Here is a 20,172-nt window from a genome sequence, read left to right on the forward strand (position 1 = left end):
CATTTCTGTTGGTAATTTCTTTTTTTTTTTTTTTGAGACAGAGTCTTGCTCTGTTGCCCAGGCTGGAGTGCAATGGGACGATCTCTGCTCACTGCAACCTCCGACTCTGGGGTTCAAGTGATTCTCCTGCCTTAGCCTCCCAAGTAGCTGGGATTACAGGTGCCTGCCACCATGCCCAACTAATTTTTTTTTTTTTTGAGATGGAGTCTTGCTCTGTTGCCCAGGCTGGAGTGCAGTGGCATGATCTCGGCTCACTGCAACCTCTGCCTCCCAAGTTCAAGTGATTCTCTTGCCTCAGCCTCCCAAGTAGCTAGGATTACAGGTGCCCGCCACCAAGCCCAGCTAATTTTTGTATTTTTAGTAGAGATGGGGTTTCACCAGATTGATCAGGCTGGTCCCGAACTACTGACCTCAGGTGATCCACCCGCCTCAGCCTCCCAAAGTGCTGGGATTACAGGCGTGAGCCACCGCACCCAGCCTTGTTGGTAATTTCTTTTGCCATTCTTCCTCAAAGATGAGTGCCTTTCTTCCTTGGGTTTCTTCTGTGCAGTTGATGTGTTACACTTGTACATCCCAGTTTCAGCATCAGCAAGTTGTGAATTATGACAATGGTTGAAATAGGAGCACTAAGGAGAATTCAGGTGTTTCATTCTCATCTTACTTAGGTTAGGAAGTCTGCCAAAGCTAGCAATTTGAAAAGAAAGAAAATAAACAAAATGAAAGGAAAGGAAGATATCTTGCAGAAACACTCACTATAAAAATATAATAAGTCAATGGGTATTATCCCACTTGTAAGAGAGTCAACTCCTTTCATTCGTTATTTTTAGAAAGCTTACTGTCACGATGCCTGAATCTTCCAAAAATGTAGCATGCTGAAAGAGACCTTGCAAATAACTCCATCAAGTTCACTAGCCTACAAAAAATCCATCTTCTCACCTTTCTTCCCCTTTTAAAAAATGTTGATGTAATTTCAGGCTTACGGAAGAGTTGCAAGAACAGTATCAAGAATCCCCAGACACCCTTCACCCAGTTTCTCCAAATGTTAACATCATTTTATAACCCATTCCACATATATAAGCATGCATATATACATATTTTTTGGTACCATGTAAGAGTAAGACTGATAGTCCTTTACTCCCAAATATTTCAGTGTGTGTTTCCTAAAACAAGAAATTCTCTTATATAGTCACAGTGTAATCATCAACATCAGGAAAATAACATTGAAGCACTAGTCATGTGTTGCTTAACAATGGAGATATGTTCTGAGAAATGCGTTGTTAGACAGTGTTGTGGTGGGAACACCATATAGTGTACCTACATGAACCTAGATGGTACAGCCTACTACACACCCAGGCTATATGGTATAACCCATTGCTCCTAGGCTACACAGCTGTACAGCATGTGGCTGTGCTGAATACTGTAGGCAATTGGAACACAATGGGGCATTTGTGTATCTACACATATCTGAACTTAGAAGAGGTACAGTAAAAATACAGTCTAATCTTATGGGACCACTGCCGTGCATGTGGATCGTCATTGACTGAAATGTTGTTATGCAGCACATGACTGTATTATCTACTGTACATACCTTATTGATATTTTGTCAACTGTCCCAAAAATATCCTTTATAGCAAAAGAGAATTCATGGTCATGTGTTCCCTTCATCATTCTATCTCTTTAGTCTCCGTTAGTTTGAAACAGTTCCTCAGTTTCACAACACTCACATTTAGAGTACAAGCCAGTTATTTTATAGACCTTCAATGTAGGTCTGTCTAGTCTTTCCTTGTGATTAGGTTCAGGTGATGCCCTTTGGCAGGAGTGTTCCGGGTGATGCTGTGTTTCTCAGTGCTTCCTACCAGGAGGCACATGTTGGTTAGTCCTGTTGCTGGCAGTGTTAACTTTGATCACTTGGCTAAGATGCCAGGTTTCTTCAGTGTAGTTAATATTTTGCCTTTTGCAATTAAAAAATATAATATGGAGAGGCACTTTGAGACAACATAAGTATCCTGTTATTCCTCAACCTCTCATCAACTCGTTTTAGCATCCATCCATGATTCTTACCTGAGTCAGTCCCTATGATCACGCTTGTCACGTGGGGATTTCTCATCCTAACTAGAAAGAAGAGTTTTCATTCCCCCCCCATTAGTCTGTTTATTTTGTATCCATGTGGACTCATGGACTCCTAGTTTCTTAGTTTAACAGTAAGTTATAATAATACATTTTTATCATTTGATAAGAGAAATCTCTTCACGCTAGCTGCTGTCTCCATATTCTTTGAACATGACTTGACTTTTTGGCACAGCAAGATATTCTGGGCTCACTTATTCTTTTCCTGCCCCAGTCCTAGAATCAGCCATCTCCAAGGAGCTCTGGTTCCTTTTAGTGGAGAAAGGCATTTAGAAACCAAGATTTTGGCCAGGCATAGTGGCTCATGCCTGTAATCCCAGTGTTTTGGGAGGCTGAGGCAGGGGGGTCACGTGAGGCCGGGAGTTTGAGACCAGCCTGGGCAACATAGTGAAAAGCCGTTTCTACAAAAAAAAAAGAAAAGAAAAAAAAACCAGAGAGAGAAACCAAGATTTGGGATTTGGGTATTAGATGTGCTCATTGCTTCATTGCTACTGGGGGTCACTGCTTCTCAGAAGACAGATCTTGGCGATAGATGTCTGCCTATACATGCACACATGCCTCTATTCAGTTATTTCCAGGAGAACCTGTGAGTTTACACTGATGTCTCTAATCCTGATCTAGTGCTGTGGGGTTCATTCTGCCCTTTTCCATTTCCATATTTGTCACTCCCCCCTCCAACAGTGAAACCTGGCTTCCTGGTTTTCACAATGTATTTATGTATTTGCTCAATTCTAGAATGTCAGAAAGTAGTTTCAAAATTGCTAACTTCTGCAAAAAGAGGTCTAGTGATCAGAATTCAGTATTAGAGCTCTTTTCGACTTCAGACTGAGAGCATATAGTCCACATTTCAGGTGTTTCTTGGGTTTGTTCCCTGCTGCCCCCTTTCAGTGTGGTTATGTTATTCATTTGAAATACAATTTGGTTCCTTTGTTTCTCTTTGTATTCTATTTGAGAGATTTCCCCAATCTTAGGGATTTTCTCTTCCCTCCCTTTTGTGTGAACCACGGACATTTCCAAAAGGCAGGTCTGTACAAAAAGTTCTATTCAGAGAGGTGCTCCCCCTCCTTTCCACTCCAATCCCTTTTTCCTCTCTACCCAGCTCCCACCCTGCCCTGTAGGGAACCAGTCTCATTAGTCTGTGTTTTTTCCTTCTATGTTTCTTTTTGCTTTAATGAGTAGTTTCTTATTCCGCTCTTTTTCTTCATAAAAAGTAGAATATTCTGAATCCTCTTTCACAGTTTGCCGTTTCTCATTTAACTGTGCGCCTGAGCAGGCTACATTAGTCCTGAGGGGTCCCTGATCCTTCCTTCTGCTCCTGAGGGGTCTGTTGTGGTCTCCATTTTGGCTGTTATGTAGGTGCATGAGAACTGTGCAGTGTGCGTCTAGGTGCTAATGACAGCACAGCCCCCACCAGGCGTTGTGTCTTTTCCACCTGACTCTGGAAGAGTGGTAATGTGGGCAGAGGAGGAAACTGAGGCTCAAAGTAGTCCCATGACCACACGTCACACAGATGTGAGCTGGTCCTAGAGGTTGAGGCCAGACTGTCTGGTGCCAGAACTGAAACTTGTGAATGACGGGTGTACTTGCTCCTCCTGCTGGGGTTCATTGCATGCCTGAGATGCCAAGAGCAGGGCTCGCATCACCCTGGGTGCTAAGGAAAAAGGCCCCAGGGAGGGAAGGATAACCCAGGAGAAAGGAGGAGCTATTCCCCTTATAATTGCTTTCCTTATCATTCTTTTAAAATTTGTTGTGTGTACATGTTTTGTAATGAGTATAACACATCAATAGAATAGGGTTTATGTACTCAAAGTTGTGTGCTCAGAAAAATTTTTAAAAATGATAGTGATATGTGATCAAAAAAGTTTGGAGATCACGGAAAGAGAAGCTCACTCAGCTGTCTTGAAGTGGAGAGAGCCCTGGCCTGGCCTTAACATCCAGAGATGAGGGCTTGTGATCCCACCTGCTCCTGCTATGGGGGCAACAAGACATTCATTCACTCAATCATTCGTTCATTCATTCATTCATTCATTCAGTATGGCTGAGCGGTGAGGTTAACACAGTGAGCAGGAAGGTGCTGTCCTGACTTCAGAGAGCATCTGCAAGTCCAGATGGGGATCTTCATGGCTGGAAGGACAGTGAGGCCTGTCAGGGAAGGACACAGTGCTGTGGATCACCTAGGAGGGGCTTGTAAGTGAGGTTTGGGGGTTAGATGTGACTTCCAGGGAGAAGAGTGACGCCTAAGTGTGTATGAGAGTCCTCTGGTGTGAGGCTTGGAGAGGAGGGAGTGTAGCTGCTGGCCAGCACCGTGGAAGAGTTGACTCTGAGCAAATCATTAATCTTTTTGGGCCTTAATTGTCTTCTCTGTAATGGGGAAGGATAGTACCACTGGCCTCTCCAGCAAGTTCTTTGCATCTGCTGAGGCCAGATTCAGGTGTCAAATTCTCAGCTCTGCTGTTGACTAGCCATGTGTCTTTGGGATGTGTTATGTCTGGAGCTTTGCTAACAAAGCTTTCTCACCTTATCTCATTGAGTCCTCCCATCCAGCATTTTCCATATGAGTGCTTTGAGTTTCAGAGAAGTGAAGCGCTTATGGAGGGTCCCACAAGCAGTGGGAGCCGGGACGCAGGGCTGACTACTACACCTGGGCCCGCCTTTTCACCACAGACTGTGTGTGCTTGTCATACTTAGACTTTGCTTGTACTTGGGAAAGGAGTTCAGTTTGCTTTAATGTCACTTTAATGCTTTTTAGAATTCATTTCCTTTGTTTATTTTGCAGCGGTATAATTTGCAATGAAATAGTTTCACATTGAGCTTACATGTTTTGATGGCATCTTAATGTTGGCTCCATGGATTTGCAGCCAGATACTTTTGTCATTCTAACTTTCCTATATGATGGCACTATGTGGCAGTGTGGCCATGAACTATGGCCTGGGTTTCCCTTTAGGCCGGCCAGGTAGCCTCTGAGTCAGGTGTTCGGTGTCTCTTGGGTCGTGGAGGACTCTGCACACTGGGGACAAGTGTCCTGTGTGTCAGTCTCCTGTGTAGCTTGGTTTTACTTTGCCATGTCATTGGGTCCTTCCTGGGGTTGGGTTTCACCTAGGAACATCTGGCTGGGCATCATATGTGCAGAAGAGAGCGTCTCTTCGCTCTCGCCCCCTGAGCTGTGGAGGGTACATGCGCACCCCAGAAGCAAAAGCTCTGGCTCCCAGAGGGCCTTGGTTTGCTAGGTTGGCCCTGCTTTCAGTTGCTGTCCTTGTGCCACAGCATATGCTGAGCCATCTGTTCTGCCTTTTTGTTTTGGAAAATGTGGCACAACAGTTAGAGTCTTGCCTAGAAGAGCACTGAAGGCCTTTTAGCACTGGGGCTGTGCCTTAGCCATTTGGGTCCCTTCAGTGCTTGGTGAGGGGCTGGAGCTGGAGTAAGGGCCTGGTACTTGTGTGTTGAATGCTTGTATGCATGTTTGATTATTGTGGCTGAGGGCTCAGGAGAGTGGCAGGAAAGGAGGAGGTGGAGCCCAGAGCAGGGACTTCTTTCCAGGGCCCAACCCACACGTTGGTCTTGCTCCTGGAAGAGCACCTGCCTGTAGAAAGCAGGTCCCTTCTGCCCAGCCCCCCACGGCCCAGCCTTAGCCCCATCCTCTCCTCAAGAGACCCCACAGCTTGGCTTTAGCAAGACCCAGACCCATATCTGAGATTCCAGTCTGAGCCCGCTGAGTGTTGAGTCTCACTGTTTCAGCTCTTGGGTTTCAGTGCCCAAGAAGTGGTACTATAGTGGCATAAAAAAGCCACCCGAAGCTGGGCTCATACCTTAGCTTTGGCACTTACTAGCTGTGTGGCCTTGGGCAAGGTGGGTTGCTTAACTTCTGGCAGCCTTGATTTCCTTACTGTGAAGCAGAGACATACCTCTAAGCAGAGAGTGGTTGTAGGGATTTGGGATGACATGTGTCCAGCACCCAGACACTTGGGCATTGGTTGCCATTATTATTATTAGTATTATTACTAGTATTATTAGTATTAGTAGTATTACTGTTACTGCTACTGATGTTACTGTCACCACCACTGTTAACCCCCATTCTCTCCCTCTACCTCTCCAACCCTACGTTCACCCACAGCACTGGTGTTATACGCCCCCTTAGTGAAGAAGAGAAGACAGGAGCTGGCTCAGAGCATTTATCTGCCCAGCTGCTGTGAGCCCTGAGCTGACCACCAAGGATGCTAAGGGGTTCAAGGAGGACTGCACCTCCCTCTGTCCTTGCCTTCTCATCCTTTTTTCTCCTGACACACCATTGTTTTCGCAAAAGAAAGAAGTAGTTGGAGTCTGGGAAAGAAATCCCCAGGGCCCTGTTTCAGATGATTGTCCCATTTCTAAACTTGAGTTAATAAGAGTAAACAAAGTAGTAGGTAGATTTGCACAGGAGAATATTATTATTCTCATGATTATGTAAATATTTATCTGTTCTGGCTTTCTTATTTTGTTGCTGGTGTCTAATTTCCAAGTCTTGTAATGAAGTGTAATTTGGAGAAGATTTGCAAAGACAGGCACGTAGTGAAATAATTTGATTTGTTCAGTAAACTTGGTTTCAGTTATTCCTTTCCATGAGTTGTTTTAGAACCCCTTCAATTTCTTTGTGATTTGACAACAGCTTTCAGCCCAATGAAGATATGACTCTTAGGCATTGCCAGGAATTCAGAATTGGTTTATAATATTGTCGCTTAATAAGAAAATGCGTTCATTGGCAGGATATAAAATTTATGGGCTTCAAATGGATTTCTGTTTGTAGTTTTAGCCCTCTGTGCTCCTGCCATTCTCGAGGCTATGAGTAAGGTTTTTTAATTAAGTCAAATTGAATTGAATGAGCTTTTATTGAACGCCCACTCTGTGCCAGACACCAGCTCCTTAACCCTTGCACTGCCCTGTAGGTGGCTATGGGGAGCTGAGCCAGAGGAGGTTTTGCCCCATGCTCACGATCATTCAGCTGGCAAACCTGGGAGGTGGGATTTGAAGTTAGGTTTGATTCTCTGGCTTTTTCATCCAAAGCTGATTATAGGCAGACTTGATTAAGGAGAAGAGAGAGGTTGAGTGGCTTTCATGTTATTTCATTGAATCTTGTTTAGTCTTCTCAGCCACCCTGTGAGGTTCATTACATTTTCCCTATTGTATATCTGAGGAAAGTAAGGCTCAGAGAGGTACAGTGATATGCTCAGGGTCACACAGCTGGTAAGAGGCAGAGCTGGGATTTGAACTCAGAACTGCCTGGCTGCAAGGCCAGAGTTCCTTCTAGAACCCCTCTAGGGGTCTGCACTTCCTTTAGCACATGGCCAATTGACCACCTGCCCACAAAAAATGGCCTGGCCCTGGTGGCTAGGGCACCCTCCTGCAGATGGAGGCAAGGAGCAGTAGGGAGTGGGGCTGGGCATCAGTTGCCCAGGTACTTCCTAGCTCTATGCCCTGGGCAAGTGAAGTCCTCCTTTCTGACCCTCCCTGCACCCACTGGTGACTGGTGGCAGAATACCCTCCTGGGTTATTGTTAGGATCACAGACAACATGTGTGAGGCACCTGGCACTTGGTGGGCACTCAGGAAGTGAAGGACCCTGCCCTTTGGCATCTGTTGCTTGTCAGAATGCGTGGTGGATGGCTCTGGCCTCGGTGACGAAGCTGCTGTTGCTTCAGCCCCCGGACTCCTGTGCATCACAGAGCTGATTCAGTGCAGACAGGTGACTCATCTGATGGCATTTTGTGTGGCGTTGTGCAGTTCAGCCTGGTACAGCACGGCCCGCCCACAGCAGGTATTCAAGAGCCGTTAGTGTTTATGAAGGTGATAAAATTGCCTAGATGGAGGGAAGCCGTCAAAATAAGAGCCTTTGCCTGTCTTGTGAAAGTTAACTTGCAAACCTAATGCCTGTGGGGCTGCTGAAAAAGCGTCACCTGGATTTCTCCTTGGAGACAGAACTCTCTGGAAGGACAGCTGGGCAGCCCCTGCTTGCCATGTGGGGGTGGACGCTTTTTATGTGACAGTGAGTTGGAGAAACTAACAGTGGTCTTCAAGGCATTGTGCTCAGCTTAACTCTTTGAATTGCCATAGCTTTAAAATGAATACTAGAAACAGTTATATATTTTTCACACTCTCCATATTTTCTCCATTCAATATAATAAATGTTATCTTGAATGTTTGAGGGTTTTATAGCAAAAATTCCTCCCATTTGTAAAGCATGCTGCAGTGGATGGGAGTGAACTAGCTGGCAGCGCTCTCGTGTGACGTGGCAGAGGCTGAGGGAGTTGCCCAAACCCCACTTCCAGTTGGAGGAAGCCTGGGCCCTGACTTCCAGTGCATGTTCAGGTCCACTTGTCAAGGAAAGGATCCATTGTTAAGAAACAAACATGGGAAACTGTCATGTGAGCGTCCCTAAAAGCAGCATAGTCATTTTCGAGTCACTCTCTGATAAAGATAGAACACTTCATTTAGGCACATTTCAGGATTTCAGAACATTTGGAGTAGTCCTGGGGTGGAAAGCAGCGTTTTCCTTTTTCAATTTCAACCTGACTCCATTCCTCTCTTTATGTGTGTCAGTCATAGCAGGGGAGTGTTTTCCTCTTGGATGCGTTTGCACCTGGCAAATGAATGTGCAGGAATTCTTTGATTGCAAAATAGCTACTCTCAAAATGCAGACAGGCAGCCACAGTCAGGGAGCCCTTCGGCCACGGCAGCGGGGTGGCGCCAGACACCTGGCTTTGAGTCCCGTGGAGGCATGCCACTTAGTCTGTTCTGAGCGGCTGTTTACAGGCGGATAGAAAGGGCTGTAGGATGGGACCCTCAAGGTTTTGGGGCATGGGAGGGGCTGGCCGTCATGATTCAGCATGCTAGCTCTCTGGAGGCTGTGCTGAGCACTGAGGGACACTGGGAGAAAAACACAGGCTCCTGCTTTGTCCATGTGGAAGGAGCCCAGGCTGCCCTGGCTGCTATACGCATCCTTCCAGGCAACCTTCACCTTCTGGTCTATTTAGTCTCATTCCCTGTTTTTATTCCCTTCTTTTATTTAGGGAGAGCCAGAGCAGCAATTCTCAGGTCAGGATTATTTGGGAGATCCATATTACTTCTGATTATTTACGAAGGGACAGGCCGGGGGAGGTAACCACCTCGATAAATTCGTCAGCGAGGCAGCTGGAGGGATGTGTGACAAACATACCAGGCTGTCATTTGGCCAGAGATTGTCTGCACTGGGATTGTTCCCCCAGGATAGTCCTGATGACAAATGTAATTGACATTTTTTATTAACCCTGAAATGATTAAAGATGCTGCTGCTGAATTTGTGTCAAAGTACCCGGTCCCTGGCATTTTGAGAAAGGGATTCTCTGTGGAGCCAATAAACAGCCTGTGTTTTCTTCCTGTTCATCACTTTAATCAACTAAGACATACAGAGCCCTGTCTGGTTTGGTCTTGAAACTGGGCCAGGGAGATAAGACTCTGCTTCCTGGCTTAGGTTTCCAGAACACTCTGGTATGGACATCATGAGGGACACATAGGAGGCACTCTGTTCATTTACCACACAGTCATCAAACGTTTGCTGAGCTCCTTCTGTGTGCCAGGTCCTGTGTGTGATATTGGGCGCTGTCTCCTTGAAGGGTGGTCGCTGTAGAATGGGGGCTAGAAAGATGTTTATGGGGATGATTGTGAGAACTGAGCATTGTAGGGGAAGACTGGGCCACCCTCACTGCCTAGGGGGTGGGGTGGGGCAGGGAAGGCAGTGCAGGGGGTGGTTTGCGTCTTACAGGAAGGGAGTCTCCTCTCCAGACAGGTCTTACCTCTGGAGCTCTCCAGGCAGATGCTGGAAGTGGCAGTGCCCAGAGTGTGTGGGTCTTGGAGTGCCAGAGTGTGGGAACACAGAGGGGCAGCAGGGGAGGGTGGAAGACACACAGGAGAGCTTGGCTGGGGCCTGCAGATGGGCTGGGGGCCACATGGAGCGCAGGTGGACTTTGCTGCTTCCTAGCCTGCCTGCTGAGTTACTGAAGCTCTTGGTCTTGGTTTCCTTATCTGTGAAATGGGACAATCCTACTTTCGCTTCTGTCATAGGGCTGCTGCAGGATGAAATGACAGTAGGAGGAAAGCCCCTGATTGGTGCTTGGCATACAGAGCCTAGTCAACAAGCATCGGTTCCTTCCTAGATGCAGTCTCAGTAGCAGTGGCCAGGTATTGAGCACCTACTGCATGCCAAGCGCTGGGCTGAAGGCCTTGCACTGACTCTCTGTTAGGTATTTTTATTCCCATTTTATAGCTGAGAAACTTGTTAGAGGGTAAAGCAGTTGCTCAGGGTCACACATAGAGAGAGGCAGAGAGAAGATCTGACACCAGGCTGTTGCTCCCAAGGGCTTCCTTTCAGCAGTGCAGGGGCTGGGAGGTGCCAGGAGGAGCAGGAACATGGAGAGGGCCAGCTTTGACTGTGGCCAGAGCCATGCTTGAGCTCTTCTTTTGGAGGGATGGGCTTGGGTTGCAGAGGGTCTTACAGGGAGAGTGTGCTTATCACACTGCTCCTGGATGGACTGATGAATTGAACACTTCCTGAGCACCTGTTTTGTGGCTAGCCCTCTGCTGAGGGTGCACACATTCCCTCAGCCACAAAGCCAGTATTTAGTGAGCACCTACTGCATGCCATGTGGTCCACCAGGCCTTGGGTAGATGGTGGTGTACCAGAGGCAGGGGTCTTCACCCTGGGGGAGCTCCCAGGCTGGCAGGGAAAGAAGGAAAGAAAAAGATCACACATCTAGCATTGTGGATAAGCAACATTTCAGCACTGAAATAGTGGGTCTATGTTATTAACATTTTATATGCTAGGCTCTCCCACACAAAACCAGATCAGAACCCTCTCTCTTGCCCCTGAACTGCATAGGTTTCAAAGGTGATCTGTCCCCTTGTATCTCGACCTGTTGCTCAGGAACCATTCCCATCAGTTTAATTTCTTTTTCCTTTTAATCCTGTGGCTGGCAGGATGTTGCAGGGGCAGTAATTTAATAAAAGTATGCAGTTTGTAAAGCAGCTGCTATTCTGTGTACTAAGCACATTTGCCAACCTTTTCAGGGAAACCTCCAAGCTGTTCTTGGAACTTAGCGATATTGCAGGAAAAAAAACATTCTATTTAATAACATTTCATCCTTTGGGTTCTGCAGCTAATAGAAGCATAAATGGAGGCCATGTCTGAAAGCCATTTCTTTATGTGATTCAGAGAATCAGGACATAGCAATTACACAGTGTATGGGATTTATGGAAACATTCATGCCTAACAAGAAGAAAACAGCTCAGTAAGTTATTTAATTTGAAGTCACAGGCCCGCTGACTGGTTCCCCACCCAGACCTACCGCACTGCTCGGCAGGCCCCAGGCGCTCGCACACAGGTGCCCACTGCTCCCTGTCTCTCTGAGTCCTGCCCGGCTGCAGGTGGAAACCTGGGCCTGCTCTGTGGGGTGTGTTCACACCTTAGGCCAGGGCAAGGTGGAGCTGGGTTTGAATATTGCTCTTCTGACTCCAAGCCTGTCTTTCCTCACCACTGCATATAACAGCCTCATTAGGTTTGTAATACGTGGCAGCTGCATGATCTGCTGGGTAAGAGACACACATTTAGAAAAATTTATGTGCCACATGCTTTTCCTTTCTTTATTTCTCTTTCCCCTGAACTGAGATAAAAAGGAGAGTCACACACAAGCAGATGTCAGAATGACTGCCTTGCTTCGCCCCATCTACTGGAAAAGCCACCGACTGAATTCTTCCTAACACCGTTTCTGTTTATGGCAGATATAGGGTGGGGGTGGGGGGCAGGGCCCTCCATTCTCTGCTTTCCGTGCTAGCCGAAGCCTTAATTCAAAAACAAATTGAGTCCTTCAGCTGTCACTCGATTGTTCCCTCTGATTTTGGGGGATAAATATCATTGCTGCAGCCTCATGTCTCCTCTCTCTCCTTTTCCCCAAAGCTTTTCCCCTTTTATTTTCTCTCTCTGCCCAGAACTCAACATATCTCTGACAAAAGCATGCATTATTTAGAGCCTGTCGCCTCTTGAAGTTCTTTAATTACAGAATTAAACCAAAGTAATGACAGTTTAATTTGTTCTTTCATTAATTGGGAGCGCTCCGGGCTGATGTGAAATGAGCGCATTTGGAAGGCATGAGGAATATGTACTGAGTGATTGGAGCATGAGTAATAATAATTGCTGTCGTTTAGTGCCGGGCGCTGGCTAGGTGCTCCTCATGCATATTCTCTGTTAATGCTCCCTGCAACCTTGAGGAGGAGATACCACCTTCTCTGTTTTGCGGCTTAGGATCTTGAGGCTCAGAGAGGTGAACCAACAGCCACCTGTCAGCCAGAGGAAGAGCCAGGCCTAGACACCAGGAGCCCAGCCCCAGAGCCTTATCCTGTCCATAGCCCCACTTGGCCTTGAGACCAGCAGCTGTGGCCTCAGGATTCTGCAAGGGGTGGCCCACAGGAAGATGGGCACACCTGGCGGGGCATGCCTGAGAAGGACTAAGTTGTGTCTGGCTGAATTTGAGGCTGAGAGGAAACATTTGAACCCGTGAAAATGGAAGGAAATTGGCGGTCAGAGGGAGCTGAAGCCTCACTGGTGCTGATGGAAATTTTGCTACTTCGAAGGTAGCAGTTTGTCCTCCCGGGAGCCCTGCAGCCACTGAGGGGCATGCCTGCGAGTGCATCCGTGCCACTTAGTTGTGGGTCAGGGAGGCTGCTGCAGGGAACCGCAGGATGGACATCTCTAAAGCATATAGTGAAGGGTAGAATCCAGGTGTATGGGGCCCCGTCAGGCCTGCTGGTCCCCCTTACCCTAGCTAAGGCCCATGCCAGAGCTGCTACCTTTCCATGGACACGTCTGGGTCCAGGTGACTTCCTTCTTGCACTGGCCCCAGGCCCCAGGCCCCAGGCCCCACCGTACCTGGCAGATGAAGTGCCTCTGATGCCCCTCCGTGGCCTGCAGAAGTTCTGGGTTGGGCCTTTGGTTTCAGGCCCCTGGGACTATACAGAGGGTGGATGGTTGGTGCATTCACAGTACTAGTGGCTCATCTGGAGGGCTGTGTCTAGAAGGAGGCAGCGGCGAAACAGCTCATCGTCCTCCTCACGTCCTTAGGGACTTGAGCCTGGTGTGTACCGACACTGCGCTCTCTTGGCAGCAGGCAGTGAGGGACAGGAGAAGAACCAAAGTTGATAGTGCCTTCTGTGGCACCTTCTACTTCGTCACTTTAATTCCCTTTAAGCTTCCCCACCACTCTGGAAAGTGGGAAGATTAGCCCCGTTTTCTAGCTGTTGAAATGAAAGCTCAGAGACAATGGTCATTTACCCAGGCCACATGGATTGAAGGGGCAGAACAGAGTTAGGATTCAGGGGTGTCTGACCCTGAAGTCCCCCATGGAACTGGGCCTCTGTGTTCTTGCTGTCACCCCATATCCCCACCAGGCACCCTCTCACTCACTCTGTTCACATCTCCCAGCAACCTCAGAGTTTTACCCTATGAGTTCTCAGACAAAACTTTAGAATTTATTATCAATGCATTTCTCTGCAGCAAAGTCTGGATGAATTTAAGATTAGGGGATTCGGTTACACTTTATTACTGTTTGTCATTAAAAATCATGCAAATAAGCCATGGAATAAAGTAACTTGTGTTGTTTTGGACACCAGATTTACATGTTTACTGGAAGAAAAATGATGCTGAACTCCTTCAAGGTGGTAATAAAATTTTGCCTCAGAGCCTTAGCTTTGTTGGTCTTTTTCTATAATTTACTCCACAACTTCCAAAAAATATTTTAAACTAGTTTATCATAAAACTCACACCAAGGGTTTCAAAACATCCTTTTGTAAAGGTGAAAAGAAGACTGAGAAGCTGCATAGGCTGCAGGCTGGGAGTGGAGAAGGAAAGACCTGCTGCAGCCATGTGACTCAGGGGCCTGAGAGGTGAATCAAAGCCTCCTTGTTGCCAGGGCTGAGACGGGGACAGGATGGCTTCTAGGCTTCCTGTCTTTGGATTTTAGTAGGAAGTTTCCAGGCTTTTGTTCTGAAACCCCCAGGTTGCTTCATTTAGCTTCCGACCTCCCTGTAGGAGGAGGTGGGCACAGAACGTGTTTGGAAGCGTCTGGGAGAATAAGGACCAGGCTAGAAAGAACCTTTGTTCTACCCTGACTCAGGCATCGGCCATCCTTTCAGAGCCCATTTCCACCACAGTTGGAAGAAGTAGTTGGGGTTTAGAACCCTGTGATTCCAACCCATGCTGCCCCTCCAAGAAGACACGGGGCGAGGCCCGGCCATACCAGTGTTGAGGTAAAGGATCTGAGGCTGGCCATCCTGGTAGATGAAAAGAGGGTTCAACCCAGGATGACCCCAAGCCTTTGGGTTAACTGCTGAGTTTGGTGTTTGCCCCAGATATTATACCCCCTGACTGTTTCAGTGCTGTGCTCCACCTTCCTCCTGGCGTGGTGGGGAAGGGTAGCCATGAAGCTCAGTTGGAGTATAGAGGAGGAGCCTTCTGGCTTTGTGAGCTCCTGCCCCTGGGGTCCTGCGGTGGTGGTCACAAGTGACACAGAGCCATGACAAGTAGCATTGTTGATGTTGATGATCAGAATTAGTAAAAATGGGCTGGTCGTGGTGGCTCATGCCTGTAATCCTAGCACTTTGGGAGGCCAAGGCAGGTGGATCACTTGAGGTCAGGAGTTTGAGACCAGCCTGGCCCACATGGTTAGGCCATCTACTAAAAATACAAAAATTAGCCAGGCATGGTGGTGGGTGCCTGTAATCCCAGCTACTTGGGAGGCTGTGGCAGGAGAATCACTTGAACCTGGGAGGCAGAGGTTGCAGTGAGCTGAGATCATGCCACTGCACTCTAGCCTGGGTGACAGAGGAAGACTCCATCTCAAAAAAAAAAAAAAAAAAAAAGTAAAAATGTATAAATCACAACACATGGTAAGTAACACAATACCAATCATAATTCACTTCAAAAACAGCAGCTTGAAATTAATCAGCAGTTGTGTTGTTTCTTAGAAATATCAGAAGCCACACGCTGTGTCTGAAAGCTTGTGAGTAAGAATGAGGAGGAGTGACAGGCAGATCAGCCAACGATAGAGGGGCTTCTGTGATCTGGGCAGGTGTCGCTGGTCACTCCTGGCTCTGTGGGCGTGGTTATGTCCTAACCCTGTGAGTTCTTGCTGCTGTCAGCACCGCATGGATGCAGGGATTCCTGGCTGTTAGTTACATGGCCAAGCAGCTTCTGAAAATTATCGTCTGTGGCCACAGAAATCCTTGACTAAGTGCTACGGAGTCATCATTATTATCCCATCACATGATTCTTCTTAATCCTTTAGAATCACTTGTTAAACTTTAATAGGTAAGATAATTTCATGCTCATTGAAGTAATGTAATTATACAGACTAATTCAACGCTATTAGAAAATTTCTGGGCTCCATTTATAATAACAGCTAATGCATTCTAAGTACAGTTTGTTAGGGAACCTTGCATATTCAACCCAAAAGAACCCCAGGTTTGCGCGTGAGCTTGGATGCTGAGCAGTGTTGAGTGAACTGGAGCCTACTGGAAGCTGTTCCATTTGTCCTTAGGTGACTTTTTTAGAAGTGATTAGACTTGGGGATTGTTTCTCAGAAATGGACTGGAGACCCATAAATCTACAACGATTTTAATTTTGGACACCAACCTGGAGCCCACAAAGACAACTTCCCACGAGTTAGCAGCAGTGCTGGGCAGTAGGGGGGCACGTGTGCTGAGGCGTGGGCGTGCCAGCCTTGCAGTGGAGGAGGGGCTGCTCTTTGCCACGTGTCTGCAGCTCTCTTCCGGTCTCTGGCTTGAACAGACTGGGGAGCCTGAGGTCACATTTTACTTGTCTTTTGGGAGGGAGGTTGGGGTAATCTGGGGCAAGGGGCTCAGCCAGCTGCCACCCAGACTTGAGTGCTCTGTTTGGTGGCACCAGACATGGTGAGGTGGGTGGTATTGAGCAGGGTGGGGGAGGCAGCAAAAGCCAGGCCTACAGAATTACACTTCTGTGGCCTAATGATTTTCAAAAACCATTTGCGAGATTGAGGTAATGTATTTCCCAGACTTAAGCAATTTACTCCTTCCCACCGTGCTGAATCAGGCTGTTAAATCCTCTTGCTGTGTGCGTAGAGCTATTGGCACCAGGGAAAAATGGTCAAGTTCAAGGCCCCTGCCAAATCTGTGCTCTTTTCTTTGGAAAGTGATGAGTAACTGCACTTTAAAAAAAAATGGGCTGGGCGTGGTGGCTCACGCCTGTAATCCCAGCACTTTGGGAGGCCGAGGTGGGTGAATCACCTGAGGTCGGGAGTTCGAGACCAGCCTGACCAACATGGAGAAACCTTGTCTCTGCTGAAAATACAAAAAATTAGCCAGGCGTGGTGGCATTTGCCTGTAATCCCAGCTACTCTGGAGGCTGAGGCAGGAGAATCACTTGAACCAGGGAGGTGGAGGTTGTGGTGAGCCGAGATCGTGCCATTGCACTCCAGCCTGGAAAACGAGCAAAACTCCGTCTCAAAAAAAAAAAAAAAAAAAGAAGATTTTAGGAACATTGGAAAATGTTAAGTGAAGAAAGCAGGATGCCAGATTGTACATTCAGTAGGATCTCAGGAGAAACAATGTCTGCATAGAAAAATACTGTGGAAACTGCCAGCAGGTTGCAGGGCTTACCTGTGCTTGAGTGCAAGGATTAGATCCAGTGTCCCCTCTGTTCCTTTTCAGCATCTTACCCGTTGCCCAGGGTGGTGACACCTGGGCCCCAGGTGAGAAGCGCCCCAGAAAGAGAAGCACATGCATGCTGGCCGTGAGTCATGGGCCTGCTAACTTGCTTGTCCTGTAACCTTGGGCAACTTCCTTCCTACTGGGAGCCCTAGTCTCTTCATCTGTATAGTGGCCCAGTTACACTATCTCAGAGGAGTGAGGGTCACTGCCAGGACTCCGTCACCTGCGTAAACACCTGGCAATGTGGGCATGTGGCAGTCTAGATAAACCATAGCCTTGTGGTGGTGATGGGGTCATTATAAAAATGCATTGTTTCTTTCACAACCAGGAAAACATTACACATAAAAGAACAGGGCAATGACTGGAGGTGGAAAAACAACGCAGCCTACCTAGCTGCATGGAGACCTATGGGAACATCCACTGGACCTTAACTTGGCTTATGGGAGTCAGGAGGGCTTCCTGGCGGAAGGAGTGTCTCATGGGAGACAGGAGAGAAGAGTAGGAGCCAACCAGGTGGAGACAGAGGAATGTACTTCAAACAGAGAGAAGGCATATGTAAGGCTGGAGGTTCAAGGAACAGAGTGAGTTTGGGAAACGCACCTAGAAAGTGGCGTGCAAGGACGATCGTGATGGGAGATGAGGCTGGGCAGGTGAGTGGGGCCTCCGGAGTCAGCCACTGACTTTCCCACTGTAGCTGTTTACAACCCCCTAAGCCCTTGGGATGTGCTTGGCAAGATAAGGCCTTATGGCTAGAAGGCTCGGAGAGCATCCTTTACTGGGCTTCTGGATGGAATTTTTGGAGCAAAGGGTTAGTACTCATTTTTATGCAAATTGAGAAATCTTGATGAAAACGATCACTTCCATCCCAGCCCCATCAGGGAGGGCCAGGGAGAACCGTGGCTTCGATAATGGTATGGGCCTGTTGGAGCCTGGCTACAGGGCTGCCCCGGGAGGCCTCCTTTGGGAGCAGAGACAGCCTGGCACTGGCCTGTGGCGGTTGCCATGGCAGCAGGACATGAGCAACCTGACTTTCTGAGAGTGGTCACCTCTATTCCGGGGCCCTGCCCTGGCTGGCTGTTGCATTGGGGTGGGAGAGGCTGTCTCAGCTGGGTCTCTGGAAAAGCTGAGGTCAGGAGGCCTGTGCCCTGGGACATGGCTATGTATGACAGCCAGGACACTCTGCCTCCACCCAGACTGGGCCTTCAGAAGGAATTAAGTTGGAGGCCATTAAAACTAAATCAGGTGATGCTTCCAGGAGCCCCCACTCAGTAACTGCTGAGAGCATCCCTGAGTCCCTGCACGTGCATGAAGCAGACAGAGTGATTTTAACGCAGCTCCTTGTCCTGGCTTAGGTGACGCCTCCCCTCACTTGTAGAGGTGGCACCATCATGCGGTCATAGGATGAGACGTCCCAGGTTCTGGCTCTCCCTGCCTCTGCTATGGTGTGATCAGAAGGGGGCTGTCTCCTGCTGTTACGCCATGTGCCACGACACCCTGCCTTCTCCCCTGCTCCCCTTCTGCCTCACTCCCCTCTAATCCACCTGTAAGTCCCAGTGATTCTTCTCTAAACTGGGCATTCAGTGCGTCCACAGTCCGGCGGCCCAGGCCTGCTCTCTCCCCTCTGCGCACCCTCTTCACTTGTCTCCTTGTGTTATTCTGGCCTTTCCTATAGCAGCTGGTATGCTCTTTAAAAACAAAAATCTGCTTATCACTTTGCTCCAATGCTTAAAAAACCATCCATTTTACATGGAGGGAAAAATTCCAAACTTTTGCAAGTGTCTGCTGAGCCCTGGGTGACCTGCGTTTTGCCCACTCTTGTTGCTCTCCTCCTTCACATAGGGCTCCAGCCACACTGGCCGCCAGTCCCCCAGGCTGTGTGACTATGCCTTGCTCAGGCCCTCCCCACCTCACCCCTTCCTCTGGAGAAGCCTGCTGACCTCCCCAGTGGAAATCAAGGTGAATCTGTTCCACCTGCTATTGTCATCTCCTAGAGCCAGTTCTGTTCTTCACAGCACTGATCTGAGTGAGAAGAGCTGTTTGTTGCTTAATATCTTTCTCTTCCACTAGACTCTCATGAGCTATTTTGTTCTCTAGCAGTTCCAGCAGTGAGCAAATTTCTTGGCAGATAGCAGACTGGCATAAATATCTGTTGAACAAACCCAGCGAGTGAATGAGAGTCACTCAGTCACTCTAAGCCTCTCTTTGCCCATCTGTAAAATGGAGATGACAGTTTCCCTGACAACCTTGTGGGCTTGTGTGAGGGGCACATGAATGTGGAAAGTGATGCACAAAAATAAAGGTATAACATTATTACTACTCATTCTAACCAGGTCACAACCTCTTCTTCCCCGCAGTTATTGAGAGAGGGAGTATGTCTTAGGATAAGAGAGTAGGAGCAGTCCAGAGCCCCTCTTACTGTGTGCAGATTAAGCACACTGAGGAGGGAAGAGGCCTGTGGCTTGAGGAAAGATGTGACATGCAACCCCAAAAGCACTTCACAGTCCCTACAGGTGGGGCAGGTGTGAAAGAGCACCTAACAACGTCAAAGCAGCTCAGGCTTTAGACCTCGGGTTCCAGCTGTGCGGGTCCACAAGAGAGTGCTGAGAAATTACAGAGAATGGGAGGGAGCTGGGAGACTAGAGGTGCCCAAGTGGAAAACCCATTTTCCAAGAGTGAAAAAAGGTAGTTTTGGAAGCCCCATGTACCATAGTGACTGAGTCGGGGAGGGACGCTTATACTAGAGAAAGAGAAAATAGACGCCAGGCAGGCAGTAGAATTCATGGCCTTGCAGGATTAAAAGACAGACATGCTTGCCAGGAGCCAGCGTTCATTCGCCAAAGCATTCTTTTTTTTTTTTTTTTGAGACGAGGTCTCACTTTGTCACCCAGGCTGGAGTGCAGTGGTGCAATCATGGCTTACTGCAGCCTTGACTTCCTGGGCTCAGGTGATCCTCCCACCTCAGACACCCAAGTAGCTGGGTCTAGAGTTGTGTGCCACCGTAGTAGAGACAGGGTTTCTCCATGTTGCCCCAGGCTGGTCTCGAACTCCTGGGCTCAAACGATCTGCCCGCCTCAGCCACCCAAAGTGTTGGGATTACAGGCATCAGCCACCTTGCCTGGCTCATTCATTCTTACGTGAGCTGTTAGACTTATAGGATCTGTGTGTATTGAGGCCAGAGGCTGAGTGTGTCTTGATTTGGAAAGGTGCTGACATTCAGAGCCTCAGGCCTTTAGAGCCTTGGTGATTCCATCCCATCCTTGTTTTACAGAAGAGCAGGAACCAGCCTAAGGTTCTTGTGGTGCCA

General features: G+C 48.0%; 1 protein-coding gene across 7 annotated transcripts in view, besides 3 other annotated features; it reads left to right on the forward strand.

Moving 5' to 3' along the window:
- WDR25 (WD repeat domain 25) overlaps positions 1–20,172 on the forward strand; it is a 153,819-nt gene that overhangs the window by 55,046 nt on the left and 78,601 nt on the right. The window contains exon 1 of one of the 7 annotated variants that reach the window (XM_047431772.1): positions 2,938–17,518. The exons of the other annotated variants lie outside the window; for them this stretch is intronic. Within the exon in view, the coding sequence (XP_047287728.1) occupies positions 17,396–17,518 (123 nt within the window). The 5' untranslated portion in view covers positions 2,938–17,395. Of the gene's footprint in view, positions 1–2,937; positions 17,519–20,172 lie in introns of those variants that run through there. 7 annotated transcript variants of the gene reach the window in all.
- Positions 7,050–8,249: an enhancer, noted in NCBI's record as "CDK7 strongly-dependent group 2 enhancer chr14:100904917-100906116 (GRCh37/hg19 assembly coordinates)". NCBI's record gives its function as "activates an origin of replication core promoter dependent on BRD2, BRD4, P300/CBP, MED14 and CDK7 cofactors, with strong dependence on CDK7, by STARR-seq in HCT116 cells {active_cell/tissue: HCT116}" and the evidence as "EXISTENCE:reporter gene assay evidence [ECO:0000049][PMID:35650434]".
- Positions 9,422–9,716: a silencer, noted in NCBI's record as "tiled region #12420; HepG2 Repressive non-DNase unmatched - State 23:Low". NCBI's record gives its function as "represses a minimal TATA promoter and a strong SV40 promoter by Sharpr-MPRA in HepG2 cells {active_cell/tissue: HepG2}" and the evidence as "EXISTENCE:reporter gene assay evidence [ECO:0000049][PMID:27701403]".
- Positions 15,928–16,428: an enhancer, noted in NCBI's record as "H3K4me1 hESC enhancer chr14:100913795-100914295 (GRCh37/hg19 assembly coordinates)". NCBI's record gives its function as "activates a minimal SCP1, AML or CMV promoter by ChIP-STARR-seq in naive H9 embryonic stem cells {active_cell/tissue: H9 hESC(naive)}" and the evidence as "EXISTENCE:reporter gene assay evidence [ECO:0000049][PMID:30033119]".

This window comes from Homo sapiens, chromosome 14 (genome assembly GCF_000001405.40).
Source record: "Homo sapiens chromosome 14, GRCh38.p14 Primary Assembly".
In the NCBI taxonomy this organism is placed as follows: domain Eukaryota; kingdom Metazoa; phylum Chordata; class Mammalia; order Primates; family Hominidae; genus Homo; species Homo sapiens.